We start from the raw sequence: 26,908 nt of genomic DNA, 5'->3' as shown, positions 1-26,908 counted from the left end.
GGGTGGGGGTAGGGAGTACCTCCTTCCTTTCTCCTTCAGGCACAACTTACAAAATTTCTGCCAATCAAATGGGAAATGGTTTACTCTGATGGCTGGGGGCTCCATAAAATGTGTACATGTGGGGTAGGCGTGTGTGTGTATGTGTGTGTGTGTGTGTGGCAGGGTGGCGGGCGGTTCAAGACGCACAGGAAGGGCCTGGCCCCCACTATGTGTGTGTTGGGGGTGTTGTCTAAGCTTTCCCCTGTACCTCCTCACCTCCGGGGGCCCAAGAAGCTCTCCTCCAACTCTGCTCCCTCCTCTGAGAGCTGTCCTGGGTCCTAGCCCCATCTTCACAGCCACATGGGCACACAGCAGTAATCATGGCTCATGACCACCAACAGCTGAACCACAATAGCCCACAGTGACAGATGCTTGTCACCCAAACAACATAACTCAGTCTCCGGCCAAGGGGCCCCTCCCAAATGCACAGGCACACAGGGACCTACCCTTCAAGCCATACAATTCTGACCAGACATTCACACCCTGATGGTGACCCAGCCATAGCCACACACTGTCACACACAACAGACAGCTGGGCCATCACACCAGTTGTTCATTCACTCACCCATTCATTCAATCCATAATCTTTATTGGGCAAGGATGCCTGGTCTCAAGGAGCCCACAGCCAGGTCTAAAGACAATAAACTGACTGACCATTATAATGGGGTGCACAGTAGGAGACAAGCCAGAGTTGGCATGAGGTGGCCGGGGAGCCCAAAGGAGGCCCTACGCAGACCGAGGAGCTCAGAAAAGCTGCCCAGAAAGGGGAGATGCCAAAAAGGATGTGTGGGAAGTGGCCAGAAGACCCCAGGGCAGCGACCTCCATTCACAGGCAGACACAGTACCACACTCTGACCACTCGGCCGCGAGCCAGAGAACTAGACGCTGGCCTGCCCGACGGCGGGGCGCCGATGCTCCCCCATGAGCCTGCTCCCGGGACAGCTGACGCCCACTGTGCCCACTCCTGGCCGCCACGGAGGAGGGGCTGCCGGGCCCCACGGGGAGACGAGGAGCCTGCGGCCGCGGGCCCCATTAGCATTCATGGAAGCGAGTGTGCCAACGCGGGCCAAACCCCTATTCTTCTCACACACAAAACCCCCGGCCTGGCTGCCAGCCCCGGCTACCGCCCATCCCCCAACCAAGCAGCACCCCCCTCCCCCCAAACGGTCCCCTCGCTCCATGCAGCCTCCGGGCGTACCCTCTCGGGCCCCCATGCGTGGTTCCATCAGCCGAGCGGCTGGGGGCCCCAGGTCCTATTAAGAAGTGGGACAAGATTCGGGGGAGGGCCGGGAGTTTGGGGGTCACGCCGGGCAGCAGACCCGGCTCCCGCCGGCCTCTCCCGAAGGTGGCCTGCCCGCCCCAGGACCGAGGCTGCTCCTAGGGAAGAGAAAGGAGGTGCAAGAAGGGTCCCCAGAGGGGCGGAGCAGGACTAGGGGTGGCGGTAAGGGGAAGACAGAGTCCGGGTCCCAGGGATGAGGGAAGACAGAGGTGAGAGGCCAGGGACAAAGGGACCAAGGGGGCGCGGCCGGGGCGGGGGGCCCAGGGGCAGCGGGGGAAAGGGGGGCAACCGACGGGGCGGGAGCAGGGGCTCGGCCCCTTTCCGGACTCCAGCTGGGCGGGAAAACTCTGTCCCGGGCCCTGTCCCCGGTGTCTGTGCCTGTGCTTGTCCGCGGGGCCCAGGAGGCGGACCTGGCGGGTGGGCCCCGCGTCTCCCGGGAGGCGCGCCAGGAACCGCTCGGGGCCCACGCCGGGGAGCTGGGAGGGTGCGGGTGCCGCACCCTCCTCACGATCCCTCTGGCCCCTGGCTGGAGAGCCCACCATTTCCCCGCGGACCCCGGTCCCCATCTCCAGCGACCCCGGTACCTGGCCCAAGGCAGGCGAGCGTGGGCAGGCGGCAGCGGCTGACGATGAGGTCGAGCGGGAAGGCGCCCATGCTCCAGCGCAGGCCGGCCAGCCCGGCCGCCAGCTTCTCCATGGCATGGGCGCCCCGGGGCCGCCGTCCCGGGGCCCCGACGGTCAGTCCCGCGCGGCCCAGGCTCTCGCGCCCGCCGCCACCTCCCGGGGCCGCCGCGGCGCTCGCCGCCTGGCAGCCCCGCCGGGCCGCGGGCGTCACGTGGCCGGCCTCCCCGCAGGGCGCCGACCCCGGCCCCGCCCCCGGGCCCCGCCCCCTCCTCCCGGACCCCGGCCCCCTCCTCCCGGACCCCCGCCCCCTGCTCTGTCCGCCCCGACCCGGACTCGCCGCCGGACCCACCCCCGGACCTCCGCCCCCAGCCCTGTCCGCCCTGCCCCGCCCCGGCCCCCTCTCCTCGGACCCCGTCCCCGCGCCCCCTTCTGGGACCCCGGGTCCCCAGCCCCGCGCTCCGTCCGCCCGCCCCTGCCCCCGCTCCCCGGCCCCCACCCGCCGCTGCCGCCAAGCCCCGCCTCCCCTCCCGCCAGCTTCCCCGCGCCCAGGTGACGGCGGGTGATGGAGGACCCCAGGGCGGGCGCCTGGAGGGACAACGAAGTCCCGAGCGGCATCTGCGGAGTCGGCGCGGGGTCGGCCTCCTCCTTCTGGCTGGGTGTGTCCGGGCCCCGCCGCTCCCCCTCGTGCTGGCCTCCCGGAGGCCGCGCCCACCCGCGCCCTGTCCTGCTCCGCCGCCCAAAGCTCGGGTTCTGAATTCTGCTCTTCCAGGACCTTCATCACCTCCGGCTCCGTGGAGCTGGGCGAGGCAGCCTCCTTAACCCCATTTTACTGATGAGCAAACTGAGGGGCAGAGGTCAGGTGGCAGCCAGGACTTCAACCTAGGTTGGACTTCAACCCAGATTTGACTCCAACCCTACTGCCCAAGAGCACCCTACAGCGCCCCACCATAGAGCACCTTCCACGTTCCCAGCGCCCCCTTAGCCGATAGCCCTGTGTCATGTAAACCGGCGCTCCAACCCTTCCACAGCACGCGGTGTGGACTGCGTCCATTCTGCAGATGAGGAGGCCGAGGTTCGAGGGCGTAACCGGTGCTGCGGTCTCCTCTCGGATCATTACAAGAACCGCCTTCCTCCCCCACCGCCACCATCCCTTCTCTCTTTTCCTTCTCTTTTTTTGAGACTGGGTCTCACTCTATCACCCAGCCTGGAGTGCAGTGGCGCGATCTCGGCTCACTGCAACCCCCACCTCCCGGGCTCAAGCGATCCTCCCACCTCAGCCTGCGGAGTAGCTGGGATGACAGGCACCTGCCACCACTCCTGGCTAATTTTTTTGTATTTTTAGTAGAGACGGCGTTTCACCATGTTGGCCAGGCTGGTCTTGAACTCCTGACCTCAAGCGATCCTCCCGACTCGGCCTCCCAAAGTGCTGGACTTACAGGCGTAAGCCACCGCGCCCAGCCTTCGTTCCCTTCTTTTAATTTGCGTTTCCTTTTCTGCTGTCCTCACCTCTTCCTTCCAAGCCCCCTGGACTCCAGCTCGGGGCCTCCCTTTGGGACCCCCTTCCCAGAAGCTTAGATGGCCTCGGCCTCGGCCTCGCCCTCTCTGTGTCTGCGGCGCCCTCTGCAGGTAATTGGGGGATGATGCGGGCCTGGCTGATCTCGCGGAGCCAGCGGGCCTTAGTCCCTAGGCTGCTCCCTCACGGGAGTGTAGTGGCACGATCTCGGCTCACTGCAACCTCCGCCCCGCAGGTTCAAGCAATTCTCCTGCCTCAGCTTCCTGAGTAGCTGGAATTACATATGTAGCTGGGATTACAGACAAGCACCACCATGCCCGGCTAATTTTTCACCTGGCTAATTTTTGTATTTTTAGTAGAGACAGGGTTTCGCCATGTTGGCCAGGCTGGTCTCGAACTCCGAACTCAAGTGATCCACCCGCCTCGATCCATCAGTCCTCAGCCTCGGTACCCCCGGAAGAACCCCACCAAATACAAACAAAACCCTCTCTTCTGAGGTGACTGACACCTGGCATCTTATGGCTCGAACCCCATGAGAAATGGCAGCCGACAAGATGAACACCACTTCTCAGCGAGAAGAGACGTTTTAGATCAGTGGTTCAATCCTCAACTGCTGCAGAGGAAAAAACTGAGACTCCAAGAGCAGAAATGCTTTGCTCTAAGGTCACACGGCAAGAAAGAGGCAGCGCTGCGACCAGAAGGCAGGACCCCCACCTACCAACTTGACCGAGGCCCTTCCCCAGCCTGGCCCAAACCCAGCCCGCTCACCCTGGCCAGGGAGGAGCTGCTCACCCCGGTGACTCAGGCAGCCCAGATGGACTCCGCTCTCCTGAGTCTGTAGGGGTGGGGTGGGTTCTTTCCCAGGGAAGTGGGAAGGTGAAGCCTGGCAGGAGAAGAAAAGAAAATACAGTGAAAATATAGGAGTCTTAAGAAGGGAATGGGCCAGGCGCGGTGGCTCACACCTGTAATCTCAACAGTTTGGCAGGCCAAGGCAGGTGGATCACTTGAGGTCAGGAGTTCGAGACCAGCCTGGCCAACATGGTGAAACCCTGTCTCTACTAAAAATACAAAAATTATCCAGGCAAAAAATTAGCCGGGCATGGTGGTGCTTGTCTGCCACTCCAGGTACATCTGTAATCCCAGCTACTCAGGAAGCTGAGGCAGGAGAATTGCTTGAACCTGGGAGGCGGAGGTTGCAGTGAGCCGAGATCGTGCCACTACACTCCAGCCTGGGTGACAGAGCGAAACTCCATCTCAAAAAAAAAAAAAAAGAAAAGAAGGGAATGGAAGGTCTGAGACAGGAGGGCGAAAAGGCCGGAAGAAGCAAGTGAATGAGAAGGGTGCTGCCTTAGATTCACTTTTCTTCCCCTACCCTGTAGGGTCTCTCTTTAGGGTGACCGTGTGTCATCCTAACTGGGAGACTTTTAAGAGGGAAGCCGGTACTAACCACCTCCCCACCCAGCTAGGACAACAGGTGCAGGTAGCCTGGGCTCCAGACAGCAGGTATAAACTGGCATTGAGCCACGTGGTCACCTTCTCCCTGCGCCCTGGACAGAGACGCCACATCTACGGTGGCTTCTCTTACTCAGCATGGCCGGCTCTCCTCAGCTCCCGACCTCAACTTCCAGCTCTACCCCTTCGCCCCCAAAAGGCGTTCACAGCCACTTCCATTTCCACAATCACACTTGAACCGGGTCCCCTTTTATTTTCTATCCCAGCTGAGGACATCTCCTTTACCCTGGTCTCCCAACCTGGAAATCTTCTCCCTAACCTTTATACCAAACTAGTCACCAAGTGCTGGCAATTCCTCTTCCACCAGGTGTCATGGAGCCCCAGCCTCCTCTTCCCAGGAGCTCCAGTCCCAGCCAGGCTTTCGTTCACAGTTTGGATCTTCTCTCCCCCAGGCAACCTGCCTATTTCACACCCAAAACCTATAACCCTGGATTTCGGCTGAGTTAGGGGCAACACCGCTGTGAGACACCAGGCAGATTCACCTAACTAAATGGACCCACCTCCTCACTGTTGCAGAATATTCCAGAGCCTTTCCAGGGCTTCTTAACTGTTGTCAAGTCTCCAGGGACCTGACACAAGTGTCCAGACACATACATCACTTGATTTGCTGAGGCTCAGGAGTCCTGCAGGAAGGAACTCAGCTTCTCTTGGAGGCAGAAATGTTTAGATCTTTCCTTGGACTGAGATTGCAGGAAGGAGAGCCAAGAGGGCACCAAGAGGGAGGAAGATGCTGGGCAGAGAGGCCAGGCTGTGTGGCTTGGTGTGGCCGTGGGAGAATCTGGGGCCTAGGTGCTGTGTGTGGCTGGGCCTGTGCTTCCCGCTCCAGGAGAGTCAGCTGGGGGAAAGAGAGGGAGGAGGAACAGAAGAAAGAGCCCAGCCAAGGGGATCCCAGCTCCTCTGCAGTGGGCTCCACTCTGACAGCGCTGGCAGTGACAAGTAGAAGGTGGAGCCTGGCCCAGCATAGTATCCCACCACTATGGGAGGCTGAGGCGGGCAGATCACTTGAGCCCAGGAGTTTGAGACTAGGCCGGCAACATAGTGAAACTCTGTCTCTACAAAAAATACAAAAACTAGCCAGGCATGGTGGTGTGCTCCTGTGGTCCCAACTACTCGGGAGGCGGAGGCAGGAGGATCACTTGAGCCCAGGAGGTTGAGGCTGCAATGAGCTGTGATCATGCCACTGCACTCCAGCCTGGGTGATGGGGCAAGACACTGTCTCAAAAATAAAAAAAATTTTAAGAAGGAGAGCCCTATTGGCTGGAGGGGAGGAAAAAGTAGGGAGGGGTCACAGCCCTACCAGAGGCCCAGTGTTGACCCAGAGGCCAGGCTGTGGCAGAGGCTGGCCAGGCTGCCCGTGAGCGGAGCATAGAGGTCAATGGAGTAGAGGCAGGGAAAGCTGCCCACAGCAGCTAGGGTTATTATTTATAAAGTACCCTGCCCCACCCCATCTAGAGGACAGATGGCCTTTTCTGGGATCATGAACTGGGCGAGGCCAGGAAACATTTAGGAAAGCACCTATGAGAAATTTAGGTAATATTGTATTTAACTTTTTATTTCAGAACATTCTAAATGTAGACACAACTAGAGATAATAGCATGTGACTTCCCGTGTGCTCATCTTCCAGCTTTAGCACCTACCAACCCACGGCTGATCTGATTTTTGTGTACCTGCTTACAACCCTTCCTCACTGGATAAAAAAAAAAAAGTTTTCTTTTTTTTTTTTTTTTCATTTTAGAGACAGGGTCTTCCCTCCGTCACCCATCTTGGAGTGTTAAAAACAACTTTATTGAAATATAATTCACATACTATACAATTCACCCATCTAAAGTTTACCATTTAGTGTTTTTAGTATTCATCGTATCTTGCAAACATCATTACAATCTAGTTTTCTTTTTGTTTTTCTATTTTATTTTTGAGACAGTCTTACCATGTCACCCTGGCTAGAGTACAATGGCACAATCTCAGCTCACTGCGACCTCTGCCTCCCAGGTTCAAGCCTCAGCCTCCCAAGTAGCTGGGATTACAGGTGCCCACCACCATGCCTGGCTAATTTTTGTATTATTTAGTAGAGACAGGGTTTCACCATGTTGGCCAGGCTGGTCTTGAACCCCTACCTCAGGTGATCTGCCTGCCTCGGCCTCCCAAAGTGCTGGGATTACAGGCGTGAGCCACCGCACCTGGCCTTTCTTTGTATTTTTTAAAAGAGGGTCTTACTATACTTCCCAGGCTGGTCTTGAACTCCTGGGCTCAAACAATCCTCCCAAGTGGGTGGGACTACAGGTATGGGCCACTGAGCCCAGTATTTTATCTTTAAATATCTCTATATCTACCTCTAAAGATAGAAACTTTTTTTTTTTAATGGTGTCTTGCTATTTTGCCAGGCTAGGCTGGAACCTGAGACCCTCCCACCTCAGCTTACTGAGTAGCTAGAACTACAGGCATGGGCCACCATGCCCAGCTTAGAAACTTTTTTTTTTTTACATTATAACCACAGTAATATTTCACAACTAAAAACCCAACAATCAGCCACGTGTAGGCATAGTGGCTCATGCCTGTAATCCCAGCACTTTGAGAGGACAAGGCAGGTAAATCACTTGAGGTCAGGGGTTCAAGAGCAGCCTGACCAACATGGTGAAACCCCGTCTATACTAAAAATGCAAAAATAAATTAGCCGGGCATGGTGGTGCATGCCTGTAATCCCAGCTACTTGGGAAGCTGAGGCAGGAGAATCACTTGAACCTGGGATGTGAAAGTTGCAGTGAGCCAAGATCATGCCATTACACTCCAGCCTGGGCGACAGGGCTAGACTCCATCTCAAAAAAAAAAAAAAAAGAAACTGGATCATTACTCTTATAGTGTTTCCTACAGTCTGCATTTTGTTAATTCCATCCCTTAGCTAATTGTCAAAATTTCAGGAATTTTGCAAGTAGATTATTAAAGACAGCCACTATTTTAAATTAGGGTAGCTTAACATGTTGCTCTTTCTTCTGGTTTTCTTTACATTGGTAATAGAATGTAGTGACTTAAAATTCAGATTGAGTTTTATTTTTTGACATAACATGTCATAGGAGATGGTGTTTCTTCCATCAGGATCAGGATGCACATAATGTCAGGTTGTTTCTCTTCTTGTGATGTCAGCGATCTGTTGATCATTGGTTATGCTTTCCTTTAAAGCTGTCTAGCTGGGGCCAGGCATGGTGGCTCATGCCTATAATCCCAGCACTTTGGGAGGCCGAGGCAGGTGGATCACCTGAGGTCAGGAGTTCGAGACCAGCCTGGCCAACATGGTGAAACCCCATCTCTACTAAAAATACAAAAAATTAGCTGGGCATGGTGGCGGGTGCCTATAATCCCAGCTACTTGGGAGGCTAAGGCAGGAGAATCGCTTGAACCTGGGAGGTAGAGGTTCCAGTGAGCTGAGATTACACCATTGCACTCCAGCCTGGACAGCAAGAGTGAAACTCCATCTCAAAAAAAAAAAAAAAAAAAAAAAAAAAAGCTGTCTAGCCAGGCATGGTGACTCACGCCTGAAATCCCAGCACTTTGGGAGGCTGAGCGGGTTGATCACTTGAGCCCAAGAGTTTGAGACCAGCCTGGGCAACATGGTAAAACTCTGCCTCTACAAAAACTACAAAAATTAGCCAGGTGGTGGTACCTGCCTATAGTTCCGGCTACTCGGGAGGCTGAGGTGGGAGGATCACCTGAGCCTAGGAGGTCAAGGCTGCAGGGAGCCATGATGGTGCCTCTGCACTCCAGCCTGGGCAACAGAGTGAGACCCTGTCTCATAAAACAAACAAATAAAACAGTCTAATTCCCCAAGATAAATCAGATTAATCTCTCCTCAGGTGAGATTAATCAGTGGTGCATGTCACACCACTGCCATAACACTTATTATACTACATTTTAGTCATTTACTTGTATACACCTCCCCAGACACCATGTCTATCCTTGTAGGAGAATAGATATGTATCTATTCCAAATTGATTCCCCACAAGGACTAATGTGGTGCCTGGTTAACTGCAGGCATCGGCAGATGAGGCAAAGTGGCCTATGACTGAAAGGATGATTGACTGTGCAAGTTACTTGCCCAGTGGTGGCAAAAGCTAATTGTCAGGCCGGGCGTAGTGGCTCACATCTGTAACCCCAGCACTTTGGGAAGCCGAGGCGGGTGGATCACTTGAGCCCAGGAGTTCAAGACCAGCCTGGCCAAGATGGCGAAACCCCGTCTCTACTAAAAATACAAAAATTAGCTGGGTATGGTGGCACCCACCTGTAATCCCAGCTACTTGGGAGGCTGAGGCACAAGAATCACTTGAACGCGGGAGGCAGAGGTTGCAGTGCAGAGACCATACCACTGCAGTCCAGCCTGGGTGACAGAGTGAGACTCTGTCTCAAAATAGATAAATAAATAAATAGTAATTTTAAAAAAAGCTAATTGTCAAAATTTCAGGAATTTTGCAAGTAGATTATTAAAGATAGCCATTATTTTAAATTAAATTATAAAAAGTTACAAGCAAATTATATGACGACCATAATAAATATTTGACTCATCATTTCCTCATTATTTTATTACATTCTATTCTTTTCTTTTCTTTTTCGAGACAGAGTCTTGCTGTGTTGCCCAGGCTGGAGTGCAGTGGCCCGGTCATGGCTCACTGCAGCCTTGACCTCCTGGGCTCAAGCAGTCCTCCCACCTCAGCCTCCCAAAGTGCTGGGATGACAGCTGGGCTACTGCGCCAGGCCCATTTTACTATTTTCTATGCTCTTGGGGTTATTTATGTCCATCATATCTGCACAGTAGAAAAACTATATAATGTTGTGCTACTATCCATTTCTTCCCAGCTCTGTGTCCAGGGATAGCATGTTGATGGCTTGAAACTGACCATGGTGGGTGTATTTACACTACAGAAATTGGCAAATCTTACGAATCAGGACTCTTTTTTTTTTTTTTCTGGAGTGTGGTTGTAAAACATTTGCCAGCACACCACTGTCTCTCGTTGTAAAATAGGAATTAAGAGTCCTCATAGCTGGGTGCAGTGGCTCATGCCTATAATCCTAGTACTTTGGGAGGCTGAGGCAGGTGGATCGCTTGAGCCCAGGAGTTCCAGACCAGCCTGGGCAACATAGCGAGACCCTATCTCTAAAAAAATATATATATATACTAGTTAAGTGTAGTGGTGCAAGCTTGTGTTCCAGTTACTTGGGAGGCTGAGGTGGGAGGATCACTTGAGCCAGGGAGGTCGAGGCTGCAGTGAGTCAAGGCTCTGTCAGCCTGGGCAACAGAGCGAGATCCTGTCTCAAAAAATTAAAAAAAGAGAGAGAGAGAAAGAAAGAAAGAATGGTAGCACTGGGCCTCACAGCCCAGCTGTTCCCCACTGGAGCAAAGTCTTACTGGGCAGAGTCCCTGGGAAACGGGTCAAGATGCGAGTTTGTGGGGATGGCGGGTCCTACACAGCAGGGCACAGCCAGCTGGCCACCTCAGAGGTCACCCAGGGAGGTGACCACTGTGCCCTCATTCACCCTAAGTTTCTTTGCTGAGAGAAAGTCTTTCACTACATCTTTATTTCAAATGTAGGCATTTATTACTTGCACCGAACATACATAACCTACCTTTTGATTTGTTTGGAGTTGTCTTTCATTTCATTCACAATCAGTAAGTAATTTCCATGGATACAGTTTCAACATTTTGTTCAAACTGTATTTTCTATTCTCCTCCAGGTTCTCTTTTACAAGATTAAAGATTAGACAGTGTATGGGGCATATGATTGAGGTAATTATTTACCCCACTGAGCAACTCTGGCTGGACATTGTACAGACTCAGAATTGTGACTGTGTCCTCAGATGGCTGTCAGCTGATGTCCTCGGGTTGGCAGCAGGGTTTGTAGTTACAATACCATGGCAGTTGCCTGAAATGGGCAACAGAAATAGGTCCCAGTTATATAAGGAATCAGTATGTCAACTCCTAGGACTTGCTGCCACCTTCAAAACATCAGGTCTTAAATCTGGAGAAGGAGGTTATACCATGCTTTTGGAGCCATGAATATTATCCAAGTCCATTATTTTTAAGCAAATAATGCATGTTTAGCCAAAAGAAATAAAACCTTTGTCTCGAAATAGTATTTTAAACTTAAGGGAAAATGTCATAAATTATAATGTTTCATTATATTCATTACTCTAAATTTTATTTACTTTAATTTAATTAATTTTTATTTTTTTAGAGATGAGGTTCACTTTGTTGCCCAGGCTGACCTTGAACTCCTGGTCTCAAACAATCCTCCTGCCTCGGCCTCCCAGGGAGCTGAGACTACAGGCACTCACCCCTGCACCTGGTTCATTCTATATTTTTAGTTTTGTAAAACTGATTTTAATTAAGCTCTGTAATCACTAAGACATTTTTGTTTGTTTGCAATTTCAACCATCGATGACATTTTATTTTAGAAGTTTCTATGTATTACATAGGTATTATATTAACTTTCTTCCTCTTCTACTCCTCCCTCCAAAATCCAGAAAGAATAAAAAAAAGTCCAACAACTTAATGTATAAAAATCTCATATCTAATTTCTCTAAAGTCTTAGGTTAAGAAAACTTAAGTGACACCTCTCCTTTTTGAGAGTACTAATTTTACGGAGAATTCATAGTCTGTCCTTGTGCTCACTACAGATTTCCCTCTTCTCTGGGACAAAGATGGTCAATTCTTCTGCTTCCTTTTAATAAATTCATTTTTTGATTATTACACATTATTATTCCCCACTTCTTAGAAACTTGATTTTTGGATATGTTTTTCATTTGGCAAAAAGTCAGTGTGGCTTTGCGTGGGATGTCTAGGTGTCAGAAACAGCAGGGTTGATGTTCTGGCTTTTGTGGGTTTTTTTTTTTCTTTTTCTTTTTTTGAGACGAATTCTTGCTCTGTCGCCCAGGTTGGAGTGCAGTGGCTCAATCTTGGCTCACTGCAACCTCCGCCTCCCAGGTTCAAGGGATTCTCCGGCCTCAGCCTCCCCAGTAGCTCGAACTACAGGCATGCACCACCATGTCTGGCTAATTTTAGTATTTTTAGTAGAGACCGGGTTATACCATGTTGGCCAGGCTGGTCTTTAACTCCTAAGCCCAGGTGATCCGCCCACCTCGGCCTCCCAAAGTGCTGGGATTATAGGCGTGAGCCACCGTGCCCGGCAGATGTTCTGGTTTTGAGAGGGAAAATATAGAGACAGATGCATACATCCCCTAGAAGAACAAACATAGGAGACTGAAATATAGTGTGCACAAAGTTAAGAGGGCTGATAGACACTGCCACTACTTGGTTTTGAATTCTGTGACTGTCAGCCATCAAAGACTGCAGTGTAGGCCAGAATATAAATCAGGAAGAAGTTTGGTTAGGCAAAAACACTGAGAAATGACAGCGTCTGCTGCATTTTGTTCCAAGAATATCAGAGCAGCCAGGCACAAGGAGCATTATGGGTCATGTGCAGTAAGTAGTAACCTATGGATAAACAGGGGCATCTGTGCAAATGCTCTGTCAACCTAGGCAATGGGGGAAGAGAAAAGAAGCATCCTATTAAAATGCACTTCCATCCCTAACTCACCTTAGGATGCAGGCTTCCTAAGCATCGTGATTTGCAAGGCCAAAGTGAAATTTAGCATTACATGTCATTCTAGGTCATTGGGAAGCTGGTTCACTGGGGACATCTCAGAAGACCTGCTCAAGAGAGCAGCAAGTCTACCCAGAAGGGTATGCCTTAATGATCTTCACAGCGTTCACGGGGCGGTCCTGGGAGTTTGTTTCTACCATTCCTACTCGATTCACCATTCCTATCCCCTGGCACACTTGGCCAAAAATGGTGTGTTTGCTGTCGATCCACTGGGTGGGTGCGAGGGTCACAAAGAACTGGCTGCCATTGGTGTCTGGCCCTGCATTGGCCATTGCGAGAATTCCAGGCCCCGTGAATTTCAAGTCTGGATGCAGCTCATCTTCAAACTGTTTGCCATAGATAAATGCACCACCTCAACCTGTCCCTGTTGGGTCACCTTTTTGGATCATGAAATCCTCGATGATTCTGTGGAATTTTGTGCCACTGTAGTAACCTCGACGAGTCATCTCAGCAGTTCTTACAGGTCTTTGGAGCATGCTTCCGATACAGCTCCGGTACAATTATTCCCATGCTGGTCTCCAAGTAAACACTGGGTGGCTGCCAGGAGTCTGGAGGAAGTGCCGCCATAGTGAAGTGGGCAGAATGCTTCTCTAGCAACTGCTACTTCTGGCATCGATTATCTGGGGACCCCTGCTGCTGCTGAGCACACCTCCAGTCCCCACCATTCAACCCTTTCAATGGCAGGATTTAGGGGGCCGGGACAAGGAAGAGGACGGTCCCTTCTTCCAATACCAGGAAGCTAAGGTGCCAGGCGAGAAGAAGCTGGGCGCAAGAACAAAAATGCATGCTTCATTCTAAGACATTTTTAAACTGAAGCTTTATTATCCTTTTCATCTCTTCCTATTTATTTATTTATTTTATTTTTTTGAGACAGAGTCTTACTCTGTCGCCCCAGCTGGAGCGATCTTGGCTCACTGCAACCTTTGCCTCCCAGGTTCAAGCAATTCTCATGCCTTAGCCCCCAGGTAGCTGGGATTACAGGCGTGCACCACCACGCCCAGCTAATGTTTGTATTTAGTAGAGATGGGGTTTCACCATGTTGGCCAGACAGGTCTCGAACTCCTGACCTCAAGTGATCCACCCGCCTTGGCCTCCCAAAGTGCTGGGATTACAGGCATGTGCCACTGCACCCAGCCCATCTCTTGCTTTTTAAATGGTGTTCTTTACTTTCAAAACATGGCAAGTTTCAGAATCCTTTAAAAATTACTTTATTCGGGTTGGGCATGGTGGCTCACGCCTGTAATCCCAGCACTTTGGGAGGCTGAGGTGGTCTGACCAACATGGCGAAACCCCATCTCTACTAAAAATGCAAAATTAGCCAGACATGGTGGTGGGTGCCTGTAATCCCAGCTACTCGGGAGGCTGAGGCAGGAGAATCGCTTGAACCCAGGAAGCAGAGGTTACAGTGGGCCGAGATCATGCCACTGCACTCCAGCCTGGGCAACAGAGCGAGACTCTGTCTCAAAAAAAAAAAAATTATTCAAACTGTTTCCCAAAAGAGAGGTTTTGTGTCAGTGGTCTTTCACACCATTTCAGAATCACACTTGCCTGAACATCTCAGATGGACTTGGTGTCATCTGGGCTTAAGTGACTGCAAATGATGGAGTAAAACTGTAGAAATAGGCCGGGCGAGGTGGCTCACACCTGTAATCCCAGCACTTTGGGAGGCCGAGGCAGGCGGATCCCAAGGTCAGGAGATCGAGACCATCCTGGCTAACACAGTGAAACCCCGTCTCTACTAAAAATACAAAAAATTAGCTGGGCGTGGTGGCGGGCGCCTATAGTTCCAGCTACTTGGGAGGCTGAGGTAGGAGAATGGTGTGAACCCGGGAGGCGGAGCTTGCAATGAGCCGAGATCGCGCCACTGCACTCCAGCCTGGGCAACAGAGCGAGACTGTCTCACAAAAAAAAAAAAAACAAAAAAAACAAAAAAATAAAACCGGTTGAAATAATCCAACATCTTTTCTGTGAGCCAAGTCAATAATTAGCTGGGGATCCAACAGCTTTGCCTTTGTCGCCTGAAACAGATTGTCCAACAATTCCCCTGAAATTCCAATCTGTGCAATAAGACAAATACATCAATGGAGTAGAATAGAGACCTCGGAAATAGATCCACACAAATATAGTCAACTGATCTCTGACAAAGGAGGAGAGGCAATTCAATGGAAAAAGCACAGTCTTTTTCAACAAATGGTTCCAGAACAATTGGACATACATATAACAAAAAAACTAATCTAGACACAGACCTTACATCCTTCACAAGAATTATTTCAAAATGGATCATAGACCTAAATGTAAAATATAAAATAATAGCACTCCTAGAGAATAACACAAGAGAAAATCTAGGTGACCTTGGGTTGGGTGACAACTTACTTTAAGATAAACACCAAAAGCACTCCTCTGCCAATCTGAGCAATAGATAGACCTGGATAATATGCATGGCTCCAAAAGCGTGGTGTAGCTTCCTTCTCCAGATTTAAGACCTGATGTCTTGAAGATGGCAGCAAATCCTAGGAGTTGACACACTGGCATTCCACTGGAATCAGAACAGGAAAAGGAGCGAGATCCCCTAGTTCCTGGGGAAATAGAGTTGTTCCCAGCACAAAACCATAGCATAATTGGTACTTTTTTTTTTTTTGAGACAGTCTCACTGGCTTTGTCACCTAGGCTGGAGTGCAGTGGCGCGATCTCAGCTCACTGCAGCCTTCGCCTCCTGGGTTCAAGCGATTCTCCTGCCTCAGCCTCCCGAGTGGCTGGGATTACAGTCATGCACCACCACGCCTGGCTCACTTTCTTTAAAATTATTTTTAGTAGAGATGGGGTTTCACCATGTTGGCCAGGCTGGTCTTGAACCCCTGGCCTCAGGTGATCCGCCCACCAAGGAGTTTCCAGAAGTTGTGGGAAAGCCCCCACCCAGTCACCTACAGAGTGACTGAACAACTGATGGGAACGCCTTCATGGTCAATTGGATTATCTTTCATGTTATGGTCCTGACCTCACTAGTAAACCCAGTGTAAACTCAAAACTCACTGTGAAATCACTATTACATGACATGAGAATCTCTACTTTTTAATCAAATTACAGATTTCAATTTATTTGTATTGTCAGTGGAATCTTTTCTTCTTTTTCTTTTTTTTATTTTTTATTTTTATTTTTATTTTTATTTTTTTTGAGTCAAAGTCTTGCTCTGTCCCCCAGGCTGGAGTGCAGTGGCACAATCTCGGCTCACTGCAACCTTCACCTCCCAAGTTCAAGCGATTCTCCTGCCTCAGCCTCCCAAGTAGCTGGGATTACAGACTCGTGCCACCACGCCCGGCTAATTTTTGTATTTTTAGTAGAGACAGGGTTTCACCATGTTGGCCAGACTTGTTTCGAACTGCTGACTTCAAGTGATCCACCCACTTTGGCCTCCCCAAGAGTTGGGATTATAGGCAGGAGTCACTGCACCCGGCCAGTCAGTGGAATCTTATTAAGTCAAATTGTTACAGTAGGTAGCTAGTCAGGTATGAGCAGCGCCGGAGAGTGCTCCCCACCAACACATAGACCAGGCGTGTTGGGAGACCTGTCAGGTGATGGTCAGGTGGTTGTTAACTGTTTCTCTTTTTTTTTTTTTTTTTTTGAGACAGGGTCTTGCTCTGTCACCCAGGCTGGAGGGCAGTGGCATGATCTCGGCTCACTGCAACCTCTGCCTCCTGGGTTCAAGCGACTCTCCTGCCTCAGTCTCCCAAGTAGCTGGGACTACAGGCCCGCGCCACCAAGCCTGACTAATTTTTGCATTTTTAGTAGAGATGGTGGGGGGAGGTGTCACTATGTTGGCCAGGCTGGTCTTGAACTCCTGGCCTCAGGTGATCCGCCCTTCTCGGCCTCCCAAAGTGCTGGGATTACAGGCATGAGCCACTGTGCCCGGCCACCTGTTTCTCTAAAGTAATAATTCGTCACAGCTGGTGCCAGGGAAGGACAGTTTCCTAATAGATAGAAAATACCTGAAACTGATCAGCAGCTTCCCAGTAAGATCTCAGGAATGGGGAGAAGTTATAATGCAAGATCCCGGAAGTATGCCAATATATAAAGCCCCAAGTCCAGAGGTCAAGCTGCACACTGGTTTCTCAGGTCATCCCACTTCCCTCTTCCAAGTTGTATTTTCCTTCTTTTTTTTCCCTTTCCTTCCTTTCCTTACTGTTCTAAAGCTTTTTAATAAACTTCCACTCCTGCTCTGAAACATGCCTCTGTCTCTTCTGCCCTATGCCCCTCGGTTGAATTCTTTCTTCCAAGGAGGCAAGAATTAAGGTTGCCGCAGATCCGTACAGATTCACCGTGGGTAACTCCAGGTAACTCAGATATCTTCCATCAGTAACGAAACTGTTTAATTTACTAATGAACCATTGATTAAATTATGTAACACTATTTTTTAAAATCGAGGTAACATTCACATAAATTTACATTCACAACAAATTTAAACTTCATCATTTAAGAATTTAAAATTTAGGCTAAGCACAGTGGCTCATGCCTGTAATTTTAACACTTTGAGACAGGAGGCTGAGACAGGAAGATTGCTTGAGGCCAGGAGTTTGAGACCAGGCTTGGCAATATAGCAAGACCTTGTCTCTACAAAAAATAGAAAAATTAGCCAGGTGTGGTGGTACATACCTGTAGTCCCAGCTACTAGGGAGGCTGAGGCAGGAGGATCACTTGAGCCCAAAAGTTCGAAGTTACAGTGAGCTATGATCAAGCCACTTCACTCCAGCCTGGGCGAAAGGGAGAGACCCTATCTCTGAAAAAAAAAAAAAAAAAAAAAAAAGGACAATTCAGTGGCATTTAGTACATTTGCAATGTTGTGCAATCATCCTCACTAGTTCCAGGACATTTTCATCACCTAAAAGGAAATTCCGCGCCCATTAAGCAGTCACTCCCCATTTCAATCCTCAGCCCTCGCAACCACTGATTTGTTTCCTGTCTCTATAGATGTACCTCTTCTGGCTATTTCATATGATGGAATCATATAACAAGTGGCCTTTTGTGTCTGGCTTCACTCATTTACCATAATGTTTTCCATGTTCATCTATAATGTAGTGTGTATCAATACTATGTTACTTTTTATGACTGAATAATATTCCAAAGTATGGATATACCATATGTGTTATCCTTTCAGCAGTTGACGGACAGTTGAGTTGTTCTACCTTTTGACTATTGTGAATAGTGCTGGTAAGAACATTCTTGTACAAGTTTTTGTTTAAATACCTGTTTTCAGTTCTTCTGGGTAAATACCTAGGAGTGGAACTGCTGGGTTGTTTGGTAATTCTATGTTAGACTTACTGAGGAATCATCAAACTGTTTTCCACAGTAGTAGTTGAACAATTTCACATTCCCATCAGCAACATATGAGGGTTCCAGTTTCTCCGTATCTCCATCAACACTTGTTGTCTTCCGTTTTTTTGTTGTTGTTGTTAGACCAAGTCTTGCTCTGTTCCCCAGGCTGGAGTGCAGTGTGCGATCTTGGCTTGCTGCAAGCTCTGCCTCCCGGGTTCACACCATTCTCCTGCCTCAGCCTCCCGAGTAGCTGGGACTACAGGCGCCCGCCACCACACCTGGCTAATTTTTTTGTATTTTTAGTAGAGACGGGGTTTCACCGTGTTAGCCAGGATGGTCTCGATCTCCTGACCTCGTGATCCGCCCGCCTTGGCCTCCCAAAGTGCTGGGATTACAGGCGTGAGCCACCGCGCCCAGCCTGTCTTCTGGTTTCTAATTTACAGTTTGCCTGTTTGTTGGTTTGGCTTTGTTATAGCCGTCCTAATGGGAGTGAAGTGGTCTCTCACTGTAATTTTGATTTGCATTTCCTTAATGACCAATGATATAGAACATATTTTCATGTGCTTTTTGGCCCTTTGTCTATCTTCCTTAGAAATGTCTATTTAAAACTTTTGCCTTGTGTTTTGTTCTTTGTCTTTTTTAAATTTTTAAAATTTTTTCTTTGTCAATTTTTAAAAATTGTGGGCCGATTGCAGTGGCTCACGCTTGCAATCCCAGCACTTTGGGAGGCCAAGGTGGGCAGATCACTTGAGCTCAGGACTTCCAGACCAGCCTGGGCAACACAGCAAAACCCTGTCTCTACTAAAAATGCAAAAATTAGCCAGGCATGGTGGCAGGCACCTGTAATCCCAGATACTTGGGAGGCTGAGGCAGGAGAATCCCTTGAACTCAGGAGGCAGAGATTGCAGTGAGCCGAGATCGTGCCACTGCACTCCAGCCTGGGCAACAGAGCAAACTCTGTCTCAAATAAATAAATAAATAATAAAATAAAAAAATATGGTAAAAAGTACAAAATTTTAACCTGATAATTTATTTATGTATTTAAATTTTATTTTAGTGGGGACAGGGTCTTGCTCTGTCACCCAGGTTGGAGTACAGTGGCGTGATCATGGCTCACTGAAGCCTCGGCCTCCTGGGGTCAAGCAATCCTCCTGCCTTAGCCTCCCGTACAGGCATGTGCCACCACACCTAGCTAATCTTTTCTTTTTCTTTTTCTTTCTTTCTTTTTTTCTTTTGTAGAGACAGAGTCTCACTGTGTTGCCCAGGCTGATCTCTAACTCCTGGCTCAAGCAATCCTCCCACCTCAGCCTCCCAAAGTGCTGGGATTATAGGCATGAGCCACTGTGCCCAGCCTACCCTCTTAATTTTTAAGTGTACAGTACAGTATTGTTAATTAAATGCATATTGTTGTACAATAGATATCTAGAACTTTTCCATCTTGTATGACTGAAACTCTGTGCCCATGAACAACTCCCCATTCCCTTCCCCCCAGCCCCTGGCCACCATTCTGCTTTTGATTTTGACTTTCATTACATTAGATGCCTCATATAAGTGGAATCATGCAATATTTGTCTTTTTTTTTTTTTTTTTTTTTTTTTGAGACGGAGTTTGACTCTTGTTGCCCAGGCTGGAGTGCAATGGTGCGATCTTGGCTCACCAAAACCTCCTCCTCCCAGGTTCAAGCAATTCTCCTGTCTCAGCCTCCCAAGTAACTGGGATTACAGGCATGTGCCACCACACCCAACCAATTTTGTATTTTTAGTAGAGACGGGGTTTCACCATGTTGGCCAGGCTAGTCTTGAACTCCTGACCTCAGGTGATCTGCCCACCTCAGCCTCCCAAAGTGCAGGGATTACAGGTATAAGCCACCACGCCTGGCTATTTGTCTTTTTGTGATTGGCTTATTTCATCTAGCATACTGTCCTCAAGGTATGTCATCCATGTGGTAGCATGTGACAGGATTTCTTTCTATTTTGAGGCTGAATAATATTCCATTGTAATGTACATAACACATTTTTTAAATCCATTCCTTCATTGATAGACATTTAGGTTGTTTCCACATATCAGCTATTGTGAATAATGTTGCAGTGAACATAGATGTGCAAATATCTGCTGTTTACAATCCTTTTGGCTATATATCCAGAATTTGGATTGCTGGATCATATGGTAATTCTATTTTTAATTTTTTGAGAAACCGCTGTACTGTTTTCCATAGCAAATGCACCATTTAGAATCCCACAAACAACGCGCAAGGATTCCTATTACTCCACATGCTCTCCAACACTTATTATTTTCTGTTTTTTTTTTCCTTTTTTATAGTGAGCCTCTTAATGGATGAGGTGGTATCTCATTGTGGTTCTGATTTGCATTTCCCTGATGATTAGTGATGTTGAGCATCTTTTCTTGTGTTTGTTGACCATCTGTATGTTTTCTGTGGAGAAATGTCTATTCAAGTCTGTTGCCCAATTTAAAATAAGATTATTTAGTTTTGTACTATTGAGTTACAGGAGCTCTTTATATATTCTGGATATTATTCCCTTATCTGATATATGGTTTACAAATATTTTCCTCCCATTCTGTAGGTTGCTTTTTCACTCTTTTGATTGTTTGCTGTGTGAAAGTTTTTAAGTTTGATGTAGTTCAATTTGTCCTATTTTGCTTTTGTTATCTGTGCTTTTGGTGTCATATCCAAGAAAGCATTGCCAAGTCCAATGTCACGAAGATTTTTCCCCTATGTTTTCTTCTAGGAGTTTTATAATTTTAGGTCTATATTTAGGCCTTTATTCTGGATTAATTTTTGTATATAGTATACGATAAGGATTCATCATTCTTTTGCATGTGGATATCCAATTTTCCCAGCACCATTTATTGAAGAGGCTAATCTTTCCTCATTGTGTAGCTTTGGCACCCTTGTCAAAGATTCTTTGACCATATAACATGAGGCTTTATTTCTGGGCTCTCTATTCTGTTCCATTGGTCTATATGTCTGTCTTTATGCCAATACCATACTATTTTGATTACTGTAGCTTTGTAGTAAGTTTTAAAATCAGGAAGTAGGTGTAAATCCTCCAACTTTGTAATTCTTTTGGCTGTTCTGGGTCCTTTGATATTACTCATGAATTTTAATTTTTTTTTCTATTTATCAAAAAAATGCCATGGGGATTTTTGAGAGGGGTTGCATTGAATTTGTAGAGTACTTTGAGTAGTATGGACAGTTTAACAATATTAAGTCTTCTAACCCATGAATATGGGATGTCTTTCCATTTATTTGTCTTTTTAAATTTCTTTCAGCAATGCTTTGTAGTATTCAGTTACAAGTCTTTCACCTCCTTGGTTAAGTTTATTCCTAAGTATTTTATTATTTTTGATGCTATTGTAAATTGTTTTGTTTTCTTAATTTCCTATTCAGATTATTCATTGTTAGCATATAGAAATACAAATGACTATTTTGTATACAAGTGTTTATTTTGTATCCTGCAACTTTACTGAATTTGTACGTTAGCTCTAACAGTTATTTTGTTAGAATCTTTTGTGGAATCTTTAGGGTTTTCCACATTTAAGAGCATGTCATCTGTGAATAAAGATAATTTTACTTCTTCCTTTCTAATTTGGATGCCTTTTATTTCTTTTCTTGTCTAATTGCTCTGGCTAGGACTTCCAGTACTATGTTGAATAGAAGAAGCCAAAGTGGGCATCTTTGCCTTATTCCAGATCTTAAATTTTCCTTTAAGAAAAGGAAAGCTTTTCCATTTTCATTTTTTTTTTTTTTACCTTTGAGTATGCTGTTAGCTGTGGGCTTTTCGTATATGACCTTTAATGTGTTGAGAAAACTTCTTTTTTTTTTTTTTTTTTTTGATACAGAGTCTTACTCTGTTGCCCAGGCTGGAATGCAATGGCACAATCTCGGCTCACTGCAACCTCCGCCTCCCAGGTTCAAGTGATTCTCCTACCTCAGCCTCCTGAGTAGCTGGGATTACAGGCATGTACCACCATGCCCGGCTAATTTTTTGTATTTAGTAGAGATGGAGTTTCACCATGTTGGTCAGGCTGGTCTCAAACTCCTGACCTCAGGTGATCCACCCACCTCAGCCTTCCAAAGTGCTGGGATTACAGGCATGAGCCACCGCACCCAGCCAGTAATTTCTTTATAATCCTAGTTTGTAGGGTGTTTTTTTATCATGAAAGGGTGTTGAATTTTGTCAAGTGCTTTTTCTGCAACAATTATGATGATCATGTGATTGTTGTCCTTCATTCTGTGTATTACATTTATTGATTTTTGTGTGCTGAACCATCCTTGCATCCCAGGGCTAAATCCCACTTGGTCATGATGTATGAACTTTTTGTGTGCTGTTGAATTCAGTTTGCTAAGATTTTGTTGAAGATTTTTGCATCAATATTCATCGAGGATATTGGTCTGTAGTTTTCTCATAGGATCCTTGTCTGCCTTTGGTATCAGGATAATGCTGGCCTAATAAAATGAGACTGAAAATGTTCCTTTTTCTTTAATTTTTTTTGGCAGAGTTTGAGAATTGTTAATTCTACTTTAAATGTTTTGTAGAATTCTCCAGTGAGGCCATCCAGTCCAGGGCTTTTCTTTTTTGGGAGGCTTTTGATCACTAATTCAATGTCTTTACTACTTAGAGGTCTGTTTGGATTTCTATTTTTTCATTATTTAGTCATGCTGCTTATATGTTTCTAGGAATTTATCCATTTCTTCTAAGTTTTCCAGTTTGTTGACATATAATTATTCATCATAGTCTCTTTAATCCTTTCCATTTCTGTGGCATCATTTATGAAGTCTCCTTTCATTTCTAATTTTAGTTATTATTTCAGTCTTTTTTTTTTCTTAATCTAGCTAAGGGTTTGTCTTTTGCTGTTATTTTCAAAAAACCAACTCTTAGTTTTGTTGATTTTCTTTCTATTGTCTCCCTACACTCTATTTTGTTTATTTCCACTCTAATCTTTACCATTTCTCTCCTTCTGTTAACTTTGGGTTTAATTTGTTCTTTTTCTAGTTCATTGAGGTGTAAAATTAAATTGCTGATTTGAGATCTTTCTTCATTTTTAAATATAGGCATTTACAACTATAGATTTCCCTGTTTGCACTGCTTTTCCTGTATCCCATAAGTTTTAGTATGTTGCATTTTAGTTTTTATTTATCTCAAGGAATTTTCTAATTTCACCTGTGATTTCTTCTTTGACTAATTAGTTATTTCCACATATGTTATGTAATTTCCACATACTTGTAAATTTTCCAGTTTTCTTTCTGCTATTGATTTCTACTTTCTATTGTGGTCATAGAAGATACTTTTTATGATTTTAATCTTTTAAAACTTATTGGGACCTGTTTAGTGTAACCCTGTTTTATAAATGTCCATAGTCTCTTCTGGTTTTTCTTTATGTGAACATTTAATACTATAATATTATGGGAAATTAAATGTTGATAAAACATTTAGTTCTGAAAAAAGAAATTATAAACTCTAATCAGTTGTATATAATATACTTTTGTATGGTTCAGGGTAAAGTTCCATATCCAGTGATAATATAGTACATGGACTTTTTTTTTTTTTTTTTTGAAACAAGGTCTCACTCTGTCGCCCAGGCTGGAGTGCAGTGGTGTGATCATAGGTTACTGCGGCTTCAAACTCCTGGGATCAAGTGACCCTTCTATTTCAACCTCCCAAGTAGCTGGGACTACAGGCAAGCACCACAATGCCCGGCTAATTCTTTAATTTTTTTTTTTTTTTTGAGGTAGAGTCTCACTCTGTCGCCCAGGCTGGACTGCAGTGGTGCAATCTCGGCTCATTGCAACCTCTGCCTCCCCGGTTCAAGTGATTCTCCTGCCTCACCCTCCCGAGTAGCTGGGATTACAAGTGCATACCACCATGCCCTGCTAATTGTTGTATTTTTTGTGGAGATAGGGTTTCACCATGTTGGCCATGCTGGTCTCAAACTCCTGACCTCAAGTAATCCACCTGCCTCAGCCTCCCAAAGTGCTGGGATTACAGGCGTGAGCCACCGCACCTGGCCAGTTTTTTTTATTTTTAAACCAAAAAACATTTTTTCATTAAAAAAAAGTATGTATTCACTTGAACCCAGGAGGCAGAGGTTGCAGTGAGCCAAGATCTGGCCACTGCACTCCAGCCTGGGTGACAGAGTGAGACTCCGTCTCAAAAATAAAAATAAAATTATAAAATAAGATAATAACATAAAAATAAAAATAGAAAAGTATTTAAGGCCAGGCGTAGTAGCTCATGCCTGTAATTCCAGCACTTTGGGAGGTCAAGGTGGGTGAGGATCACTTGAGGTCAGGAGTTCAAGACCAGCCTGGCCAACATGGTGAAACACCATCTCTACTAAAAATACAGAAGTGAGCCAGGTGTGGTGGCTGGCACCTGTAATTCCAGCTACTCCGGAGGCTAAGCCAGGAGACTAGCTTGAACCTGGGAGGTGGGTGTTGCAGTGAGCCAAGATCGGGCCATTGCACTCCAGCCTGGGTGACAGAGCAAGACTCTGTCTCCAAAAAAACAAAAACAAACAAACAAACAAAAAAAGTATTTAGAACACATAAAACAAGGCCACATTTATTCTTTTTTCTCGTCTCTTGGTATGGGATCTGTTGGTGGCTCTTCCACTGTTGGCTGTTACTCTCCAAGCCAGTGTTACTATCACTGGTTCCTTCTCTGCCATACAGTCGACCCCTCCTACCCACTCTCCTTGTCCTCAGGAGTAGACATGCCTTCTTCACTGTTCCGTTGGCTCTTCTTCAGAGTGTGTCTCCTCTGTCTCCCTTGGAAGGTTCGTGTCGTCTTTCTTTTCCTCGCCTTTGTTGCCCGCTTGCTCTTCCTCAGGAACGAGGCTGCTCTGACTGGCTCAGCTTGCACTGCCGCCTCCTCCCTTTCCTCCTGCCTTTTGCGGCCCTGTTTCTCTGCCTGTGCAATCTCAGCTACAGTTTTCTCCATATCCAGTTCTACCTTCAGACCGCACAACCTTTTAAGTTCACTGTTAAATGAAGCCGTGCTTTCCAGGAATTTCCTCTTCTTCTTCTGATGCCGTTCCTCTATTTGAAGAAGTTCAGCTTCTAGTTTTCGCTGATGAACCATTAAGGACTGGACCTGTCGCTTGAGGACCTGCATGCTAGCTGTTGTGACAGCGGACGGAATGTCTGGCACCACACTGTCACTAAGGATTTCACTGATGCGGCCATGATTTCTCTGGAAACGGGCGGTGTCCGTATGCTCCATTGAAAAGCCATTGTCAGCCCAGCACGGTGGCTCACGCCCATAATTCCAGCGCTCTGGGAGGCCGAGGCAGGTGGATCACAAGGTCAGGATCAGCCTGGCCAACATCGTGAAACCCCATCTCTACTAAAGATTAAAAAAAAATTAGCCAGGCGTGGTGGTGCGTGCCTGTAATCTCAGCTACTGGGGAGGCTGAGGCAGTAGAATCGCTTGAACCCAGGAGGCGGAGGTTGCAGTGAGCTGAGATCACGCCACTGCACTCCAGCCTGAGCGACAGAGCGAGACTCTGTCTCAAAAAAAAAAAAAAAAAAGAAATGAAAAGCCATCGTCACAATCATCTGGATCTTCAGCAAGCTGAATGCTCACGTCAGGTTCTCCTCTCTTCATGCGAGACTGCCTCTGTCCACTTTCTTCCTCTAAAGCAGCTTCTGCATGACTTTTTGCAGCATTTATGTAAGCAAGGTTCGTGTGGAATTAGAGGTCTTCATAGATTCATTGTACTCTATCTTTTCTACTTTGTATTTGTTTATTCTTGTTTCTCTTCATCAGTGAGATCTCCCCACATGCCATCAATAAGCTTGCCAATCTCCCACAACTTTAGGTCAGGGTTGGAAGCCTTTACTTGGTCCCAGACCTTTCTGCTGTACCTCATGTAGCACATCAGCGGCTTATCTGGTGGCTTTGGGGGTTTTGGAATCATAATACCAAAGGACGCTGGGACCCGGCTATTGGTGCCTGGGTTGCCTCCCAGCCTGTAGTTGTTGTAGGTGAGATGACTGTAAGGATTGTATCCCACAAACCCTGGTGTACTGGACATTTGTGTTGCAGGAGCTGGGGTGGGAGTTGGGGCATAAGATGGTCTTTTTGACATTTTGGAAGATTAAGTTCTCAGTTCCTTAAGAATGAATCTGAGACTTCATGGGCAGAAAAAGTGCCCCAAGCCCTGGCTTCACTTCCCTTTATCCCATGCATGCCCACCCCTCCAATTTTTTAATTTTTTGTAGAAATGGGACTTCACTGTTGCCTCAGCTGGTCTCGAATTCCTGGGCTCAAGTGATCCTCCCACTTCAGCCTCCCAACGTGCTGAATTACAGGCACCAGCCACTGAGCCCAGCCCACTTCCTATATTATGTCCTAAAGTGGGTTTTTTGTTTGTTTGTTTGTTTGTTTACTACAAATAGCCCCTTCACTTTCAGGACTCAGACAAGCACCTTTGGGACACTAGGAATCCCTCCATGACCCTAAGAAAATGCTGCAAAAATGTTAGTTTTATTCTCCTCTCTTCACTGTAGATTTCCCAGTAGGAAGTAGGGGCACAAGAGATCAGGTTTATTCATTCAACAAATAGCATCGTTCATGCAGTGGGTGCTGTTCTAGGTGCTGAAGACAGAGCCATGAATAAGACAGAAAGAGCCCCTGCCCACTTGGAGCTTCTATCCTAGCAGAGACAGGCAATAAACAAATGAACAGTAAATGTTAATATGTCAGGTGGTGGAAAGAGCTGTGGAGGAAAAAAGAAAGCCAAGTGAAAAGGATAGCGAATTCAGGACTGGGAGAGGTGTTGTTCCTGTCCTATGCAATGTGGCCAGGGAAGGTCTCAATGACAAGGGGACATTTGAGCAGAGACCACAAAGAGGTGTCTGTAATCCCAGCACTTTGGGAAGCCGAGGCAGGCGGATCACCTGAGCTCAGGAGTTTGAGACCAGCCTGGCCAACATGGTGAAACCCCATCTCTACCAAAAAATACAA

At 47.0% G+C, this 26,908-nt stretch overlaps 1 protein-coding gene and 2 pseudogenes across 5 annotated transcripts in view, besides 2 other annotated features; all 3 read right to left on the bottom strand.

The window, feature by feature from the left end:
- Positions 1-2,146, bottom strand: part of GAREM2 (GRB2 associated regulator of MAPK1 subtype 2) — a 31,217-nt gene extending 29,071 nt beyond the window's left edge. For 3 of the 5 annotated variants that reach the window (XM_011532567.4, NM_001168241.2, XM_006711951.5), the window contains exon 1: positions 1,902-2,146. In XM_011532567.4, coding sequence (XP_011530869.1) covers positions 1,902-2,013 — 112 coding nt within the window. In that variant the 5' untranslated portion in view covers positions 2,014-2,146. Of the gene's footprint in view, positions 1-255; positions 940-1,236; positions 1,373-1,901 lie in introns of those variants that run through there. The other 2 variants (XM_011532565.4, XM_011532564.3) reach the window with 2 other exon arrangements.
- Positions 10,096-10,267: a silencer, noted in NCBI's record as "fragment chr2:26387836-26388007 (GRCh37/hg19 assembly coordinates)". NCBI's record gives its function as "represses an EF-1alpha promoter that drives an FKBP-Casp9 reporter gene in an ReSE screen in K562 erythroleukemia cells {active_cell/tissue: K562}" and the evidence as "EXISTENCE:reporter gene assay evidence [ECO:0000049][PMID:32094911]".
- Positions 10,725-10,903: a silencer, noted in NCBI's record as "fragment chr2:26387200-26387378 (GRCh37/hg19 assembly coordinates)". NCBI's record gives its function as "represses an EF-1alpha promoter that drives an FKBP-Casp9 reporter gene in an ReSE screen in HepG2 liver carcinoma cells {active_cell/tissue: HepG2}" and the evidence as "EXISTENCE:reporter gene assay evidence [ECO:0000049][PMID:32094911]".
- Positions 11,375-13,205, bottom strand: PPIL1P1 (peptidylprolyl isomerase like 1 pseudogene 1; annotated as a pseudogene).
- Positions 23,962-26,120, bottom strand: SMARCE1P6 (SMARCE1 pseudogene 6; annotated as a pseudogene).

This window comes from Homo sapiens, chromosome 2 (assembly GCF_000001405.40).
Source record: "Homo sapiens chromosome 2, GRCh38.p14 Primary Assembly".
NCBI classification, from domain to species: domain Eukaryota; kingdom Metazoa; phylum Chordata; class Mammalia; order Primates; family Hominidae; genus Homo; species Homo sapiens.
This window is presented reverse-complemented; position numbering and strand designations above follow the sequence as displayed.